Raw genomic sequence first — 20,338 nt, forward strand, 5'->3', positions numbered from 1 at the left:
AAACTGAATTCAACAATACATTAAAAAGTTCATTCATCATGACCAAGTGGAATTTATCCCTGGAATGCAAAGATGGTAGAACATACACAAATCAAAGTGGTACATTATATCAACAGAATGAAAGACAAAAATAATATGATCATTTTAAATGATGATGAAAAAGCATTTGATTAAATTCAACATCCCTTCATAATAAAAGCCTTAAAAATCTAGTATAGAAGGAACATAACATAATAAAATTTGTGTATGAAAAACCTGCAGCTAGTATCCTGCTGAATGGGGAAAACCTGAAAGCCTTTCCCCTAAGATCTGAAATACAGCAAGAATGCCCACTTTCACCACTGTTATTCAAAATAGTACTGGAAGTGCTAGCTACAGAAATTATACGAGACAAAGAAATGAGTGAGATCCAAACTGGAAAAGAAGAAGTCAAATTATTTTTGTTTTCAGATGATGTGATCTTATATTTAGTGAAACTTAAAGACTCCAACAGAAAACTAGTAGAACTGATAAACAAACTCAGTAAAGTTGAAGGATACAAAATCAACATACAAAAATTAGCACCATTTTGATATGCCAACACTGAACAATCTGAAAAATAAATGAAAAAGTAGTCTAATATACAATAGCCACAAATAAAATTAAATAACTAGGAACTAACTTAACCAAAGTGAAAGATCTCTATAATAAAAACTATAAAATACTGATGAAAGTAATTGAAGAGGACTCTAAAAAATGGAGAAATATTTCATGTTTATGGGTTGAAAGAATCCATATTTTAAAAATGCCCATACATCCCAAAGCAATCTACAGATTCACTGCAATTCCTTTCAAATAGCTAAACCTTTCTTTTTAAAAGAACACATGGGAGAGGGAAAAAAAATGGCAGATAGGAGGCAGGACAGACTTGCAGCTCCCACATGGATGTTTGTTTCTTAATGCATGTGGAGACTCACACTGTAAACTTTTGCTTCAAGAACTGTTGCAAGAACATACCAGGAAAGCCAAAATAATTCACAGACTCTTGGAAAGAAGTGGCTTGCTGCAGCAAACTCCATGAGAAAGCTGAAAAACTGTGAGTGCCCAAAGTGTGAGAGGGGAAATTCTGCCTCTGAATACAAATCCTCACTGGGAACCTGAAAATCCAGATCCAAGCAAAATATAAAAGTAGACAAAGCAGTGGGAAGAACCCTGTAGGCACTCCCTGTCCCCTGGGAAACCCTGGGAAGCCATTTTTGCCTTATCTAACAAGGGCTTTGGGGAGGACTGCCAGTGAAATTTAGAAAGGACCACAGGGAGAAGGAAACTTCCAGCTGAACTTTGTAATGATTTTGACCAAGCATGAAATTTTCTGGGCAGAATGGGAGAGGGGTGGTGGTGATGGTGAACAGGAAGTGCAGATGTATGCACAGAAGCCATGGCAGGTGTGGAGGAGCCAGACCTGAAAGGCATGCTTGCTTTCTCAGCAGGGAGACTTGAAGCCTGGGGCAAGATCTCAGCACTGCTCACTGGCTGCCTGGATATAAACTTCGTGCTCTTAGTGGGGCACAGTGTGAGTGAGACTGGACTTGCTGGCTGCATGTCAACTGGGTGAGGCTGGTCACTGCTAGCTTTCCCCCACCTCCTTGGTGACCTGTATGAGGCAGCAGAAGCAGCCATAACCCCCTTGGGAACCTAACTTCATTGACTTGAGAACTATACCCTTATAGCCCGCAGTGACCACCACAAGCCGTGCCCAAGGAGAGTCTGAGCTCAGACAGGCCTAACCCCATTCCCACCTGATGGTCTTTCTCTACCCATTCTAGTAGCTGAAGACAAAAAACATAATCTCTTGGGAGATCTATAGCCCTGCCCATCACCTGAGAAACTCAAATACTTATCCAGGAGAACTTAGGGCAAGCTTGTATTCCCCCTATACTACAGCAGCTGATGCTCTCTTGAAAGTGCCACCTCCTGACTTGAGGCCAGCCAACTCAAGCCATTACAGCAACTCATAAAATAACAACCTTGCTCCAAGAAAGGAAAAACAACAACAACAGCTAATTCCACTTCCTGTAACATCCTGGCTAACCCCGAGATCTTGAGTCTGTCCACGTGACATCTTCACTGCTAGCACAACCAGCATTTGAGAAAACCAGCACACTAAACAAAACTACAACCAAGGACCCTCAAAGAGTTTACTTCGTTCCCCTGCTACCTCCCACCGGAGCAGGTGCTGGTATTCATGGCTGAGAGACCTGAAGACAGATCACATCAGAGGACTCTTTGCAGAGACTCCCCAGTACCAGCCCCTAGCCTGATAGTTCTGCTGGGTGGCTAGACTCAGAAGAGCAATAACAATCACTGCAGTCTGGCTCTCAGGAAGCCCCATACCTAGAAGAAGGGGAAGAGCTTCACATCAAGGGATCACCCCACGGGAGAAAAGAATCTGAACCGCAGCCCTTGAGTTCCAGATCTTTCCTCTGACATAGTCTACCCAAATGAAAAGGGACAAGAAAATATTCTGGTAATATGAAAAAGCTATGTTCTTTAACACTCCCAAAAGATCACACTAGCTCACCAGCAATGGATCCAAACCAAGACAAAATCTGTGAATGCCAGAAATAATTCAGAAGGTCAATTATTAAGCTACTCAAGGAGGTATCAGAGAAAGGTGGAAACCAACTTAAATAAACTTAAAAAAGATACAGGATATTGACAACAAATATATAGATAAATTTATTTTTATTGTAAATCAAAACAATCACAACTTCTGAAAATGAAAGACACACTTAAAGAAATACCAAATACACTGGAAAGTTTCAACAATATAATCAAACAAGTAGAAGAGAGAACTTCAGAGCTCAAAGACAAAGCTTTCAAATTAACCCAGTTCGGCAAAGCCAAAGAAAAACAAATCACAAAAATGAACAAAGCCTCCAAGAAGTTTGGGATTTGTTAAATGACATAAAATAAGAATAATTAGTGTTCCTGAGAAAGAAGAGAAATCTAAAAGTTCCAAAAATCTATTTGAGGGAATAATCCAGGAAAACTTCCTTGGCTTTGCTAGAGATCTAGACATTCAAATACAAGAAGCTCAAAGAACATGCGGAAAATTCATGGCAAAATGATCATCACCTAGGCATACAGTCATTAGGTTATCTAAAGTCAAAATAAAGGGAAGAATTTTGAGATCTGTGAGGCAAAAGCTTCAGGTAACCTACAAATGAAAACCTATCAGATTAACAATAGATTTGTCAGCAGAAACTCTACAAGCTAGAAGGGATTGGGGTTCTATCTTCAGCCTCCTTAAACAAAACAATTATCAGCCAAGAATGAAGGAAAGATAATGACTTTTTCAGACAAATGCCCAGAGAATTTGCCACTACCAAACCGGCACTACAAGAACTGCTAAAAGCAGCTCTAAATCTTGAAACAAATCTTCGAAATACACCAAAATAGAACCTCTTTAAAGCATAAATCTCACAGGACCTATAAAACAACAACACAATGAATAATAAACCAAGGAATTCAGGCAACAACTAGCACAATGGATAGAATAGCACCTCACATCTCAATAGTAACTTGAATGTAAATGGCCTAAATGTTCCACTTAAAAGATACAGAATGGCAGAATGGATAAGAATTTAACAATCAAGTATCTGCAGTCTTCAAGAGACTCACCTAACACATAAGGACTCACATAAACTTAAGATAAAAGGGTGGAAAAAGATATTCCAAGCAAATGGTCACCATAAGCAAGCAGGAGTAGCTATTCTTATATCAGAAAAAAACAAACTTTAAAGCAACAGCAGTTAAAAGAGACAAAGAGGGATATTATATGATGATAAAAGGACTAGTGGAACAGGAAAATATCACCATCCTAACTATATATGCATTTAATACTGGAGGTCCCAAATATAAAAACAATTATTACTAGACCTAAGAAATGAGATAGACGGCAACACGATAATAGTGGGGGACTTCAATACTCCACTGACAGCACTAGACAGGTCATCAAGAGAAAGTCAACAAAGAAACGATGGACTTAAGCTATACCCAAGAACATATGAACTTAGCAAGTATTTACAAAACATTCTACCCAATAGCTGCAGAATATACATTCTATTCCTCAGCACATGGAACATTCTCCAAGATAGACCATATGATAGGTCACAAAACAAGTCTCAATACATTTAAGAAAATCTAAATTATATCAAGTACTCCCTCAGACTATAGTGGAACAAAATTAAAAATCAACTTCAAAACAAACCCTTAAAAACGTGCAAATACATGGAAATTAAATAACCTACTTCTGAATGATCATTGGATCAACAGTGAAATCAAGATGGAAATTAAAAAGTTCTTTGAACTGGACTATAATAGTGACACAACCTATCATATCCTCTGGGATACAGCAAAGGCAGTGCTAAGAAGGAAGTTCACAGCGTTAAATGCCTGCATCAAAAAGTCTGAAAGAGCACAAATAGACAATCTAAGGTCACACCTCAAGGAACTAGAGAAACAAGAACAAGCCAAACCCTAACCCGGCAAAAGAAAAGTAATAATCAACATGAGAGCAGAACTAAATGAAATTGAACCAAAAAATACAAAGAATAAATGAAACTAAAAACTGGTTCTTTGAAAAGATAAACAAAATTGATAGACCATTAATGAAATTAATGAAGAAAAGAAGACAGAAGATGTCAATAAGCTCAACTAGAAACAAAATGGGAGATATTACAACTGATACCACAGAAATACAAAAGATCATTCAAGGCTACTAAGAACATACCTTTATGCACACAAACTAGAAAACCTAGAGGAGATGGATAAATTTCTGGAAATATACAACCCTCCTAGATTAAACCAGGAAGAAATAGAAACTCTGAACAGAGAAATCAGTGAGATTGAAATGGCAATTTAAAAATTCCCCACAAAATTTCCAGGGCAAGATGGATTCACAGTAAAATTCTATCAGACATTCAAAGAAGAATTGGTACCAATCCTATTGACACTATTTCACAAGATAGAGAGAGGGAATTTCCCTAAATCATTCTATGAAGCCAGTATCACCCTAATACCAATACCAGGAAAGGACATAACAAATAAAGAAAACGACAGACCAATATCCCTGATGAACATAGATGCAAAAATCCTCAACAAAATACTGGGTAACTGAGTCCAACAGCATATCAAAAAGATAATCCAACATGATCAAGTGGGTTTCATACCAGGGATAGAGTGATGGTTTAACATACACAAGTCAATAAATGTTGTACACCACATAAACAGAATTAGAAACAAAAATCACATGATCATCTCAATAGATGCAGAAGAAGTATTTGACAAAACCCAGCATCCCTTTATGATTAAAAGCCTCAGCAAAATTGGCATAGAAAGGACATACCTAAGATAATAAAAGCCATCTATGGCAAACCCACAGTCAACATTATATTATATGGAGAAAAGTTGAAAGCATTCCCTGAGAACTGGAAGAAGATAAGACTGCCCTCTTTCAGTACTTCTGTCCAACATAGTACTGGAAGTCCTAGCCAGAGCAATTGGACAAGAGGAAGAAATAAAGGGCATCCACATCAGTAAAGAGGAAGTCAAGCTGTTGTTGTTCACTGGTTATATGATTATATATCCAAAAAATCCTGAAGACTCATCCAAAAAGCTCCTAGAACTCATAAATGAATTCAGCAAAGTTTCAGGATACAAAATCAATGTACACAAATCAATAGCTCTGCTATACACCAACAGCGACCAAGCTGAGAATGAAATAAGTACTCAACCCCTTTTACAATATCTGCAAATGAAATGAAATGAAATGAAATGAAATAAAAATAAAATATAATACTTAGAAATATACCTGACCAAGGATGCAAAAGACCTCTGCAAGGAAAACTACAAAGCACTGCTGAAAGAAATCATAGACGACACAAACAAATGGAAACACATTCCATGCTCATGGAGTGGTAGAATCAATATTGTGAATATTACCATAATGCCAAAAGCTATCTAAAAATTCAATGCAATTCCCACCAAAGTATCATCATCATTCTTCACAGAAATAGAGAAAACAATTCTAAAATTCATACAGAACTAAAAAAGAGTCCACACAGCCAAAGCAAGACTAAGCAAAAAGAATAATCTGGAAGTATCATTTTACTCAACTTCAAACTATACTATAAGAACGTAGTCACCAAAACATCATAACACTGGTATGAAAATAGGCACATAGACCAATGAAACGGAATAGAGAAACCGTAAGCAAAGCCAAATACAGCCAACTGATCTTTGACAAAGCAAACAAAAACATTAGGTGGGGAAAGGACACCATATTCAACAAATGGTGCTGGGATAATTGGCAAGCCACATGTAGAAGGATGAAACTGTATCCTCATCCCTCACCCTATATAAAAATCAACTCAAGATGAACCAAAGACTTAAATCTAAGACGTGAAGCCATAAAAATTCTAGAAGATAACATCGGCAAAACCCTTCTAGACAATGGCTTATCCAAAGACTTCAGGACCAAGAACCCAAAAACAAATGCAACAAAAACAAAGATAAATAGATGAGACCTAATTAAACTAAAAAGCTTCTGCACAGCAAAAGAAATAATCAACATAGTAAACAGACAACCCACAGAATGGAAGAAAATCTTTGCAAACTATGCACCCAACGAAGGACCAATATAAAGAATCTACAAGGAACTCAAGTAAATCAGCAGGAAAAAACAAATAATCCCATCAAAAAGTGGGCTAAGGACATGAATAGACAATTCTCAAAAGAAGATACACAAATGGCCAACAAACATATGAAAAAATGCTCAACATCACTAATGATCAGACAAATGCAAATCAAAACCACAATGCAATACCACCTTACTCCTGCAAGTATGGCAATAATCAAAAAATCAAAAAATAATAGATGTTGGTGTGGATGTGGTGAAAATGGAACACTTCTACACTGCTGGTGGGGATGTAAACTAGTACAACCACTATGGAAGACAGTATGGAGATTCCTTAAAGAGCTAAAAGTTGATCTACCATTTGATTCAGCAATCCCACTACTGGGTATCTACCCAGAGGAATAAAAAGTCATTATATGAAAAAGATACTTGCTCCTGCAAGTTTATAGCACCACAATTTACAATTGCAAAAATGTGGAGCCAGTCTAAACTCCCATCATTCAACAAGTGGATAAAGAAAATATAGTGTATATATATATATAGCATGAATACGCCTCAGCCATAAAAAGAATGAAATAATGACATTTGCAGCAACCTGGGTGGAGTTGGAGACCATTTTTCTAAGTGAAGTAACTCATAAATCAAAAACCAGACATCGTATGTTCTCACTTATAAGTGGGAGCTAAGCTGTGTGGATGCAAAGGCATAAGGAAGGCATATTTTTAAGTTACAAGAGATTAGAGAGTGACTCAGTCTTCCAATGTAAAAAATTCTGTAAAACTTTTGCTACTTGAGTTATGCCAATATGGACAGAGAATGTGGCACATTTCTAAACTCTACTTCTCTGATCTTCTTCTGTTACCCAACTCCAGTCAGTCAGTGCCCACTAATTTCTGGATTTTTTTAAAAGGGGGCTGCCTTTGTGTATAGTAACAGTAGAAAAATAGGGCAGACCCTATATGGAGTTTGGAGGGATATCCGATAAACTATTTCATGTTAGTTTTGTAGGATGAGCTGGTGAAATTTGGACTACAAGAAAGTGCAGATATGGGGAGGAATTCATGACTAATTAAATGGTTGGATTCAAAGAGTTGATTTTAATGGATGTATTGTAGCAGGACGAGCCACAGACAAAACCTCCCAGACACCGAGTTGTAGAAGGAAGGGCTTTATTCAGCTGGGAGCATCGGCAAGTTACTGCCTTGAAATCCGAGCTCCCTGAGTGCACAATTTCTGTCCTCTTTAAGGGCTCACAACACTAAAGATTTTACATGAAAGGGTCGTGATTGATTTGAGCAAGCAAGGAGTACGTGACAGGGGCTGCATGCACCAGTGGTCAGAGAGAAACAGAACAGGGCAGGGCATTCTTTTATACAATGTCTGGAATCTATGAATAACATCGGTTTCTAAGTGACTGTTAGATAATATATTTACTGACAGAAGCCATGTGTTATTTCACCAAATGGGAATTAATCTCCTAAATTAGAGAGTTGTGTAGTTAGAGTTAACATAAGGCATTAGATGTTTTCTTTTGGATTTCTGGCAGGGAATTACTCATTGCTTAATAATTTGGGGGGAAAAATTTGCAGTGCCAGATAATGACATTTTCTCTTTAACAACAGCAAAATCCTTGTCATCAGTGTTTCTATTTCTTTAATTCCTCAAGGTGACAGCTTAGCTCATGTCTAAGGCACTGTGCTGAGAGCTCTGAAAAAGCAAAACTCTTCCCTCTAGGACCTTCAAGCATTTACACAAATTACTTCCATGGTACATGGTGATCTATGAAAAGGGCCAAATGAGAGGCACTGAATATACAACAGGAACCCTGGGAAGGGAGAGAGGGAGGGACGATTATGTTCTGGGAAGGCCTTTTGAAGGAGGTGAGAACTTAATCTTAATTGCAGTTAAACTGCTAAAGACTTTTGCTATATCCTTTCTTTTTGGGGAAATTTAGGGCCTTGTGGAAACTTGTAAACATGGAACTTTGTAATCCCTATACGAGATAAACAAGGAAATTGAGAAAGGAAAAGTCACAGTCTGGAAATATTTTGCAGGCCTGTCTATGAGGCCTAATGCAAAGGTTAATTCAAGAGCATTCTTTTCTTTTCTTTTCAGTTTGTTACCTTTCCATAGAAATGAGAGCCCCCTGCTGTTCTCTGCCATCAGCTGCTTTGTTCTGCTAATCAGGGAATGAAGCTGAGAATGCCCCTTGGCTCTGGGAGAGGGAGAAAAGAACAGGTGCCAGAGCTCATGTATTGAAATAGATCAAGGGTCTGTTCATCACTCAATCATTCTCCAGTGTAAGATACTCAAGAACAAACAAGTCCACTGTGAGTCAGAATCTGCCAACAGTCTTTTTCCTAGTAGTTTGAGGATACTAAGTAGTTTGGCTAAGTATGAGTTGCTGTACCCTAGGTATTATACTGTTAGGGAAATTCCCCACTGTCTGCCAAACATTTCAACTCAGCAAAAATTAGATCTGAAAAATGTTGATGAGCCATAATAAGTTGTACATAGTGCCTTTTAAGAAATGAACTACTAAATATATTCTAAGCAAAGAAGCAGTTCTGGAAGAATAATGGCTGAACTTCAAATTTTAGGGTTCTCACCTGCTTGTTGCCTCAGGCCTAGCCCCTTTTCCTCAACTCATTGCAAATTCATACTTAATCTTCTCTTCTGCCCTAGTGAAAATATATTTTAACCGGGAGTCCATAAATGTGGGTGCTAGGTCTGGCTTTATCACTAGTTGTCAGTTTTCCCATCTGAAAAGTGAATGCCTAGCTCACAGTGTGCAGTTGTTGTGGATGTTGGATTTTTTGAGAAAGCTGCATGTGAAGGTTAATGGGCTGCACAGATACAAGGTAGTTATATTATTACTTAAACTCCATTGTGGAGACTAGGAACATTTGGAAATTGCCTTTACTTGAATGTTCAGTCTGAATAAAATTTGCCTCTGGATTAAAAGTCCTCAGCCTCAGGGAAAGACCTACTCTAGTTTAGTGTCTGTTTTTGTGTGTTCTCTCCCTGTTCCAGTCCCTCTCCTTCTCCCTCTCTGTCTCCCTCTTCTTCCTTCTGTCCTTCCCTTCCATCCTGCCCACTTCTCTCTCTCATACGCGGGCATGCAGGCATGAACACATGTATGTGCTCGCACATGCGTGTGCACACACACACAGTAAAAAAAGGACAATTTAAAAAGGGCATGCCTTTTGTCACAGATGCTTACAGAAACACATAGAACTTTCAAATTTTATGGTATAATAGCCTTAAAACTTTTACTCTACCTTGAAGTTCAACTTTAATTGATTTTAATTATCTATATACAATTACTTACTTAGATTCTGTCTTCTTTTACAAAGAATTTGAGACATTCAGGCTTAACTTGTTCAAAACTTTAGGTGGTATTCAAACCAATGAAGACTGCTTGCCTCAAATCTTCAAAGGGAAATAAGAAGTTGCTGAGTTATGCAGCAAAATACAAGTGTTATCTTTTTCAGATTACACAAAAAGTTATTAAAAGCGGTAATTCAGATATTTCCTGTGAAATCTGCTGTGAACAAATTCATTACAGACCCATGTAGATTGTAGGGCTTACTCATGGTTTACTAGCTAAAAGTGTCATGGGGAAGAAAAGATATAAACAGAATTTTGCCCTGGTGCCATTCACCTGTAGACCATTCAGTTACACCACTGAGGGAGAGTCTTAGGTTGGAGTCTTCACCATCATGTAAGGATAACAGATATTTTTTGAAAATTTCTAATTAGAAGCATTGAGCACTTCTGTAACTAATTTCTATAACCATATGTATAGGACTAGATGGGAAGAAAAAATATAACCAAATTTACAACAGATGGGAACATAACTTTTGCCTTAAATTGTTGCACCCCAATGTACTAATTGAACATTTAATCTTGCTATTGCTTATTGACAGATTTGTGTGTGCGCATATGTGCATGTTTGTATTCTTTCTGACTGGACCCTAAACTGATTGAAAGCAGGATTCCATATCTTACTTTGTATCATTATCTTTATCCTTCATATCGTTATCTTTTTGTGCTGTAATTAATGTTTGCCAGAGGCTGCATTGTCCTATTTGGAAAATCTAAATTGTATAAGCAACCCTACCATCTCTGGTGTTACAGTTTCCATTTTCAATTTGAATAGTCTGGCTTAAAAAATATATTAACTTGGCCTTCACATAAGACAGTAAATAAGCATTTCCTTTTTTGTGTGTAAGGATGCACACAATTCAGCTTAACGACTGTAAACAGCATAAATGCACAATCTTTAATTCGGCTGATCACGTTTCACTTTGCTTTTTTATAAAAAAAGATTATTTGTATCTCTCTTTTTAACAGTTTTATTGAGGTGTAATTGTTGCACAAAAATTTGAATGTATTTTATGTGTACAATTTGATGGGTTTAAACACATGCATACACCCATGTATCCATTACCACACGCAAGATAATAAACATATTAAGGTTGTTCTTGATAAAAGTTAAAGATACTCATTTTTACTTTGGTGCGGTTGGGAGTTGCTGGATTCCACGTCATTCTGAGGTGACATGTGACTCATTTGCACGCATTCACTCATGCAGGTGTTTTTGAAGTGGTATTTCTAGCCCAGATAAGGGAAGATGACTGTCTACAGAATTCTGAACAGCAGTTGTCTTACTCAGTTTCCTGTTTCACCCAGTTCCTTCTGAGTACTGTTAATAAAGGAATCCCCTTTCTGTTGTGCAAAGACATAAAATGTCATGACTTGACCAAGATTATCATTGTTGACTTTTTGTGCTAGGGACAAATTTCCAGTTTTTTTTTTTTTTGATGGAAACAAGGAATCTATCCTTGCCTCAAACAAGAACAAGAGCTATGTACTCACAGAAACTAAAAATCAAAAGAATTATCAAGGGAAGATACAGGGTAAAAGGATTATCAGTAGGGTCAATGGAAAGTATTAATATTTCAGACATGACCTGCTCATAGTTGTCTTTTGTGATCCGAGTCTTTTTGAAAATGATAATCACTAAGGGATATTTTTCTTCTTGGGCATTTGTTTTTCCTTTATCTTTATTTTTAACCTTCCTGTCTTTCACTATTTTATATTGCATCCAGTGTCCTCATCTTTATTTCGCTTGTAAACTCCTTGAAGGCAGAATGTGAGAGGTGGCCCAAGATACTTCTATGACTTCTCAAACTGGTCAGAGTTGCTGAAATTAGTAGCATTAATTTTATAGGCTATGTATTAGGGCATTACCTCTCTAGAAGGCTATACTAAAATGCAGATTTAATTAGAGAAGAGAACCCATGAGCAGATTACCATAAATTAGGTAATTAGATTAGCTGTCTGCCTGCCCATGCCTTCACTAGAGATGTTTGGATGCCATGAATGAAATTCCAGTGTCTAGATATTACTCAAGAAAACACAGGGATGCTCATTGTCTAATGAGAGTATGGGTAAACATTTTAATGGTTTTCAATGTGACATAATCAACACTCATTAACAGAGGTGGAAATGGGGATATTGTGTAAAACACACTTATTCAATGGTATTATGATTTTGACTCATCAGTTGACTATTTCCATTGCTTTCCTGTAAGTTTGGTGAAAGCCTGCCATGTTTGTCTTGTACACTATTCTATCCTCAGTGTCTACAACAGAGTAAGCCCTTATGAAATGTTAAATGAATGAGTTTAAGTGATTGAACACAAAATGAAAAGTATATATCATTCAAAATTGGCAGCTTTTGAAGGAGTAATACTTTGGACATGGAATAGGAATAGGGATTTTATGGTGTTTACTAAAAATATGGAAACTTGGTGATGGAAAACCTCCACTGAAGTTATTAAAATTATCTTTCTTTATATTTTCTCTGCAGTTTCAGTGGCTGATGGTCACTGGAATGATGTAACTGCTCAGTGCTTTTCCTGCTTTGTATATTTCCAGAAACTCTTCTCTAAAATACTTCAGATGGTGTGCTAACTCCTCAGAATGCACACCAATGATGTACTTGTTTTTTTTCTTTCACAATTGAGATTTTGTTGGTTATGTTGAGGACCGGTACACAAACATTTCAATTTGTACACAATTCTTAACATACATATGAAAAATCTAAAAAGCTGTGTATTGTAATTCTTTTCAAAACAGTTATTCCAGTGATCTTCCAGCTTAAAAATTGGAGGCAATTTTTTCTTAAGAGGATATCAAGTACCAGTATCTTCAAATGTTGTTAACTTGTTACATACATCCTACTGATTCAAAATTTAATAGCATATATACTACATACACAAATTTTTAATCTTTCACAGCACATTAGCAAAGTTATTAGGAAAGTAGGGCTACCACGACCAAAGATAATATAGAGTGCATGATTATGACAGGAAGAGCCATTATCAAGGGGTGATTTTCTTTAGGAAACAGTTCTACTGAAAACAACATGGGAATATAAGTAATTTAAAAATGTTCAAGATATTAAATACAGGACTGTGACTCCATATTGCCATTTATAGTATGCTTTTTATTATAGGATATAAAAACTAACCCCCTTTAATGGAATGTTAAGCTGACACCCAAGACAATCAAAGCATCCCCAAATTCAATATCCCACATTATTTTCTGATTGCACCAAAAAACAAACGAGTGAATGATTTTGTCTCTTAAAGAAAAGCATTTACACTTAAAAAATAGGATGAGATGAAATTCCTCCCTTCTTAAACTGTTTCTAGAGCTACTAAAAGGCTTGCATTTACAAAATAGTTGATAAAAATATTCCTCTGGATTACACAAGAATGGAGGCATGGAGCACTGATAAGACATGATATATGATAATAATCAGATGTGGCTTCTTTCTCTCTGGCTTCATCGGCAGCTAGACTCTCCTTGGTTTTCTGCAGGTAAATCTTTTTTTAGTTTCTTGGTTCACCATTTTGGCCTGTTTTCCCTTTTGTCCCCTTTTTTCTTTTGTTTGCACTATTTTGTCTGAAAATGTATCCTTTCCTGCTTCTTTTTTTGGCTTCGTTTCCCCCCCCTTTTTTTTTTTGAGACGGAGTCTTGCTCTGTCGCCCAGGCTGGAGTGCAGTGGCACCATCTTGGCTCACTGCAACCTCCGCCTCCTGGGTTCAAGCGATTCTCCTGCCTCAGCCTCCTGAGTAGCTGGGAGTACAGGTACATGCCACCACGCCCAGCTAATTTTTTTTTTATTTTTAGTAGAGGCGGGGTTTCACCATGTTGGCCAGGATGATCTTGACCTCCAGACCCCATGATCCACCCACCTCGTCCTCCCAAAGTTCTGGGATTACAGGCGTGAGTCACCGCGGCTGGTCCGTTTCCACTTTTACAGTTGCAGACGTAACTGAGAGCCGCGCTGATCTCCTCGTCAGCTCTTCCTTCACTGCCTGTAAGGCTAAGCTGACCTTTTTCTTGGGCATTTTAGTGGCCAAGAGGTGCATGCTGAGAGGTTTCAAGAAGCTGGGATGTCTGGCTGCTGCCACTCCTTCCACCACCTGAGCTACCAATGATGTATTTGATAGAGATTAGGTGAGAGAGGTACATCAGGAAGAGCCCAGAATGAAAGGTCAGAAGAACAAGTGGGCAGTGGTGATGTTGAAGTCACTGCTACTATGGGTTTATGGTGCTTATCACCCTGTACTGTAATTATCCATGTACAAAGTCCTACAGAGTGACTTTTTGGTCACTGTGGCTTACCAGTGGCTCTCTGTGGGACTTTGAGTCCCTAGTAATCCAGACAAGGTCTCATTTATATTTATATCTTTACTGGTTAGCAAAGATTTTCTGCCAGCCACATAAAAGGTACCTGGTAAAGGTGTGTTGAATGAATGATAGAGGAACCTAAAGAGATGCTTTTTAGTATTTGTTAATTCATCACAATTTACTGAGCATCAGTTATATGCCAGGCATTATGATAGTCATCCAGTGTAAGACTCTTTCCTGTCCACAAGGCATTGATAGTTTTAGAGGGGTACAAGTAAATGAATAATTATAAATTTATGAGTAAATGCAGCAGATAAATATATGTGGGATATTACAGGAGCACAGAGTAGTCATACCTATCCTAGCTGAAAAGAGGTGATGATAGAATCTGATTTATTCATTATAAAAAATTTACTATAAGCACTATTATTAAACATGAGATTAGCCATTTGTTGCCAATTGATATATTATTATCAATATGAGAGAGATTCTAGGACATGCATGACCAATGGAAACCACTGAATTTTTTTCTAAAATCTATTGTCTTAATGACTACACAATCACAGCCCCCTAAAATTAGCCAACCATAACTACAATGTTGTTACTAATGACAGTAACCTTACAAGGTAAGCAGGGTTTTAAAGGATAAGTAGTAGTTATTCAGGTGAAGCCTAGGAGGAAAGGAATTTCCAGGGGAGGGAATAGTGTAAATAAATTTGTGTAAGAAACAGAGAATTGGCAAAGTGTGTGGCAAAATTTATATCTTTTAGGTTATAGAAATCGATGAGAAATTTTTAGCGGTAGAGTCATCTGATGACGTTTGACTATAACAACAGTCACACTTATGAAGCTCTCACTACGCCAGGCATAGCTCCAAGGGCTTTATTTCTATATTAACACAGTTAACCCTCACAGCATCCCTATGAATTAGGTACCATTGCTGTCTCCTCTTCATTGGTGGGAGAAGGTTAAGTAAAGTGTCTCACATCACTAATAAGTGATAGAGTCAGGAATTGAACCATGGCAGTCTGACTAAAGAGTACCTGTATTTAACCACTTCACCGTAAATATTATGGGGCAAGTTTGGATTTCAAGAGTCCATACAGGGAGTTCTTGCAAGATCCAGGTATGAGTTGATGAAGTCCTGAACAAAGTCAGTGGAAGTAAAGATAGACAGAACAGAAGAAGAGATAAGGAGAGAGATTTTAAAAGTCCATATAAAGTAAAATTGTCAGGATTTCTATCAAATATGAACTTGGAGAGGGTGGTCAAAAGAAGGTAGAGTCAGACGAAACTTTTGTGTTTCTCTGGGTCAAGGTATCTTTAAGACAGATAAGTAGAGAGATCTAGCAGGAAGATAGATATTTGATTCTGAAACTGAAAAGGGAGATCTAGGCTGATGATAGAAAGTTTATACAAATATGTAGATAGAAAAGGGAAATGGACTGATGATAGAATGCTAGGAAATGCCAGTGTTTTTAGGAGTAAGTGAAGATGAGGAGTCAATGCAGGAGGCAGAGAGCAAGAGGTCAGGGAAGCATGAGAATGTGGCATGGTGGAATCTAAGGAGATATAATGTATTAACAAGGAAGGCATAATCAAGAGTATCAAACACAGCAATGAAGTCCATTAACTGAAGGATTGAAAAGATACATTGAATTTGACAGGTGATTGGTAGCCTTAGTGAAAGTAGTGTCTTTGAAATATTGGGAGTGGAAGTCAGACTGCATAAATTAAGAGAATGGAAGATGAAAACGTGGTGACAGTGAAGGTAGACAAGTCTTTCAAGAAGTTTGATGGTTTCAAAGAGGAGAGAGTTAGGGAGATAGCAAGTAGGGGCTATGGAAACACTGAAAGTTTATTCTTTCAGGTTATAGATTGAAAGAGAGTTGAGCATGCTAACAGGTTGAAGAAATGGATGGGGATGTCTGATGGTAAGGACTTGATGGAGGTTAGAGGGGGTGGCACTAAGGGTTTAGTCAAGGGAGAATTTCCACATTTGACACAAGGGAAAAAGAGATAAGGATGAGTATGGAGGCAGATAATTTTGTAAATAGAGATGAATGGGTAAAAAATAATTAGGGAGATAAGAGGGGCTTAATTTTTAGATTAATTTTACCACTTTTCCTTAAGCCCACTGTAAACTTTTTGCCTCCTTATTTGGTAGCTAGCTTTGTTTTCTCTTTCATTGGGAAAATGAGTCTACGGTGGAAGATAGGAGACAGTAAACATAGTTATACAAAGGTAAAGGATATGTAGTTCCAAGCCTCAAAGGTTTCAAGCAGGGAGAGATCAAAACCAGTGAAGGAAAATACAGGCCCAGGCAAGTGTAGGTATTGAGGTTTTACTCATTTACATGTAAGTAGCATTTGTAACAGACATTGAAAGATAGGTAGTGTTGCCACATGTGGCAAGTAAGTCAAAGTTAACATTCACTATCTTCTCATCTCCTCATCAATATTTCTAACTGTTTTAATGAGAGAGAAAATGAGACAGACGGGGAGAGAGAGAGAAAGATAGAATTAATGAATATGTAATAATTGAGTTGTACCATCAATGTTTTATGATGTTTTGAATACTGTATTCATCCATTCTCGCATTACTATAAAGGACTACTTGAGACTGGGAAAGTTATAAAGAAAAGAGGTTTAATTGACTCAAAGTTCTGTAGGAGGCTGTACAGGAAGCATGGTCCGGGAGTCCTCAGGAAACTTACAATCGTGTCAGAAGGTGAAGGGCAATCAAGCACTTCTTACGTGGCTGAAGCAGGAGGAAAAGAGTGATGAGGGAAGTGCTACACACTTTTAAACATGAGAGCTCACTATAATGCGGGCAGCAAGGGGGAAGTTCACCTCCATGATTTAATCACCTCCCACCAGGCACCTCCTTTAACATTAAGCAAAAGCAAATTTCTCAGGAGAAGAAGAAATTCTGCCTCAGGACTGTAACATAGAAATCCTGTTTGTGCCGGGCGTGGTGGCTCACGCCTGTAATCCCAGCACTTTGGGATGGCTGAGGCGGGTGGATCACGAGGTCGGGAGATCAAGACCAGCCTGGCCAACATGGTGAAACCCCGTCTCTACTAAAAATACAAAAAAGTTAGCCAGGCGTGTTGGCGGGCGCCTGTAGTCCCAGCTACTCGGGAGGCTGAGGCAGGAGAATGCCATGAACCCAGGAGGCAGAGCTGGCAGTGAGCCGAGATCGCACCACTGCACTCCAGCCTGGGCAACAGAGCGAGACCCCGTCTCAAAAAAAAAAAAAAAAAAAGAAATCCTGCTTGAATTTTCAGACTGTTGGCAAGTCCTACAGATTTCAGACTCAAGACTATAACATTAATTCTTGACTGAGATTCTAGCCTTCTGACCTGCCTGCAGATTTTGGAATTTCAAGTCTGCACAATTATATAAGCCAATTACTTAAAATAAAAGCTGGAAGCATTCCGTTTGAAAATCAGCGCAAGACAAGCATGCCGTCTCTCACCATGCCTATTCAACATAGTACTAGAAGTACTAGCCAGAAAAATCAGGCAAGAGACAGAAGTGAAGCACATCCAAATAGAAAGAGAGGAAGTCAAATTATCTCTGTTTACAGATAATATGATTCCATACCTAAAAAAACCCATAGCCTCTGACCAAAAGCTCCTTGGCCTGATAAATCACTTTAGCAAGGTTTCAGGATACCAAGTTAATGTACAAAAATCAGTAGCATTTTTGTACACCAGCAACATCCACACTATGAACCAAATCAGAAATGCAATCCCATTCACAATAGCTACAAAAATAATAAAACACCTAGGGATATAACTAGCCAAGGGGATAAATGATTTCTACAATAAAAATTACAAAACACTGTTCAAATAAATCAGAGAAAACACAAACAAGTGAAAAAACCTTCCATGCTCATGGATAGGAAACATCAATATCATTAAAATGGTCAAACTGCCTAAAGTGATTTCCAGATTCAATGCTATTCCTATCAAACTACCAATAACATTCTTCTCAGAACTAGAAAAACTTTTAAAATTCATATGAAACAAAAAAAGAGTCTGAATAGCCAAAGAAATCCTAAGCAAAAAGAACAAAGCTGGAAGTATCACGTTACCTGACTTCAAACTATACTAAAGGGCTAGAGTAAACAAAACAGCATGGTACTGGTAGGAAAAAATCCCAGGAACATAGACCATTGGAACAGAATACAGAGGTCAGAAATAGGGCCTCACACATATGACTACCTGATCTTTGGCAAAGCTGATAAAAACAAGCAATGGGGAAAAGATTTCCTACTCAATAAATGGTGTTAGGATAACTGGCTAGCCATATGCAGAAGACTAAAGCTGGACCTCTTCCTTATGCCATACACAAAAATCAATTCAAGATTGATTAAAGACTTAAATGTAAAACTCAAATATATAAAAATCCTGGAAGTCAACCTATGCAATACCATCCTGGATGTGGGAACAGGCAAAGGTTTCATTATGAAGACACCGAAAGCAATCACAACAAAAGCAAAAATTGACAAGTGGGATCTAACTAAACTTAGTAGCTTCTTGCAAAGCAAAAGAAACTATCAATAGAGTAAACAGACAATGTACAGTATGGGAGAAAATATTTGCAAACTATGCATCTGACAAAGGCCTAATATCCAGCATCTATAAAGAACTCAAACAAATTTACAAGAGAAAACATGTATTTGATCACTTCACGGTAAACATTATGGGGCAAGTTTGGATTTCAAGAGTCCATACAGGGAGTTCTTGCAAGATCCATGTATAAGCTGATGAAGTCCTGAACAAAGTCAGCGGAAGTAAAGATAGACAGAACAGAAGAAGAGATAAGGAGAAAGATTTTAAAAGTCCATAGAAGTCAAAAGTCAAAAGAAGACATACATGTGACCAACAAGCATATGAATAAAAGCTCATTATCACTGATTCTTAGAGAAATGCAAATCAAAACCACAATGAGATATGATCTAACACCAGTTAGAATGGTTATTATTAAAAAGTCACAAAATGACATATGCTGGCAAGGTTGTGGAGCAAAGAGAACACTTATACACTATTGGTGGGAGTATAAATTGGTTCAACCATTGTGGAAAGCAGTGTGGCAATTCCTCAAAGAACTAAAAGCAAAACTGCCATTCAACCCAGCAAACCCATTACTGGGTATATACTCAGAGGAATATAAATCATTTTACCATAAAGACACATACATGCAAATGTTCACTGCAGCACTATTCACAATAGCAAAGGAATGGAATCAACCTAAATGCCCATCAATGACAGATTGGGTAAAGAAAATGTGCTACATATACACCATGAAATACTATGCAGCCATAAAAATACAAGATCATGCCTTTCCTGGGAACATGGATGCAGCTGGAGGCTATCATCCTCAGCAAACTAAAGTAGGAACAGAAAACCAAATACCACATGTTCTCACTTATAAGTGGGAGCTAAATGATGAGAACTTATGAAGACAAAGCAGAAAACAACAGACACTGGAGTCTACTTGAGGGTGGAGGGTGGAAGGAGGGAGAATAGCAGAATAGATAACTATTGGGTACTGCGCTTAATTCCTGGTGATGAAATAATCTGTACAACACGCCCCTATGACATGAGTTTACCTATGTAACAAACCTTCACATGTACCTCGGAACCTAAAATAAAAGTTAAAGAGAGAGAAATATTAAAAAGTATATTCTCTTGGTTCTATTTGTTTGAAGAACCCTGACTGATATTGATTTTGTAATTGGGGATTATTATAGAGAAATAGAATGAATCTTCAGGATAAGTTTTTTGAATTGACTATGGGATTTCTGTAATTGGTTCTCTATTCTGATTTGATTTAAGGGCATAATGACTTTATTTCCAATAGAAAGAGGGCACAGATAGTCCATGGTATGATGTGACAAAAGAGATAAGCAAAAAATCACTATTGGATATTCCCAATGA

The 20,338-nt window shown here is 37.6% G+C and overlaps 1 pseudogene, besides 1 other annotated feature; it reads right to left on the reverse strand.

The window, feature by feature from the left end:
* Positions 8,292–9,271: an enhancer, noted in NCBI's record as "OCT4-NANOG hESC enhancer chrX:77769873-77770852 (GRCh37/hg19 assembly coordinates)". NCBI's record gives its function as "activates a minimal SCP1, AML or CMV promoter by ChIP-STARR-seq in naive and primed H9 embryonic stem cells {active_cell/tissue: H9 hESC(naive and primed)}" and the evidence as "EXISTENCE:reporter gene assay evidence [ECO:0000049][PMID:30033119]".
* Positions 13,313–13,702, reverse strand: HMGN1P34 (high mobility group nucleosome binding domain 1 pseudogene 34; annotated as a pseudogene).

The sequence above is a fragment of the Homo sapiens genome, chromosome X (genome assembly GCF_000001405.40).
Source record: "Homo sapiens chromosome X, GRCh38.p14 Primary Assembly".
Taxonomy (NCBI): domain Eukaryota; kingdom Metazoa; phylum Chordata; class Mammalia; order Primates; family Hominidae; genus Homo; species Homo sapiens.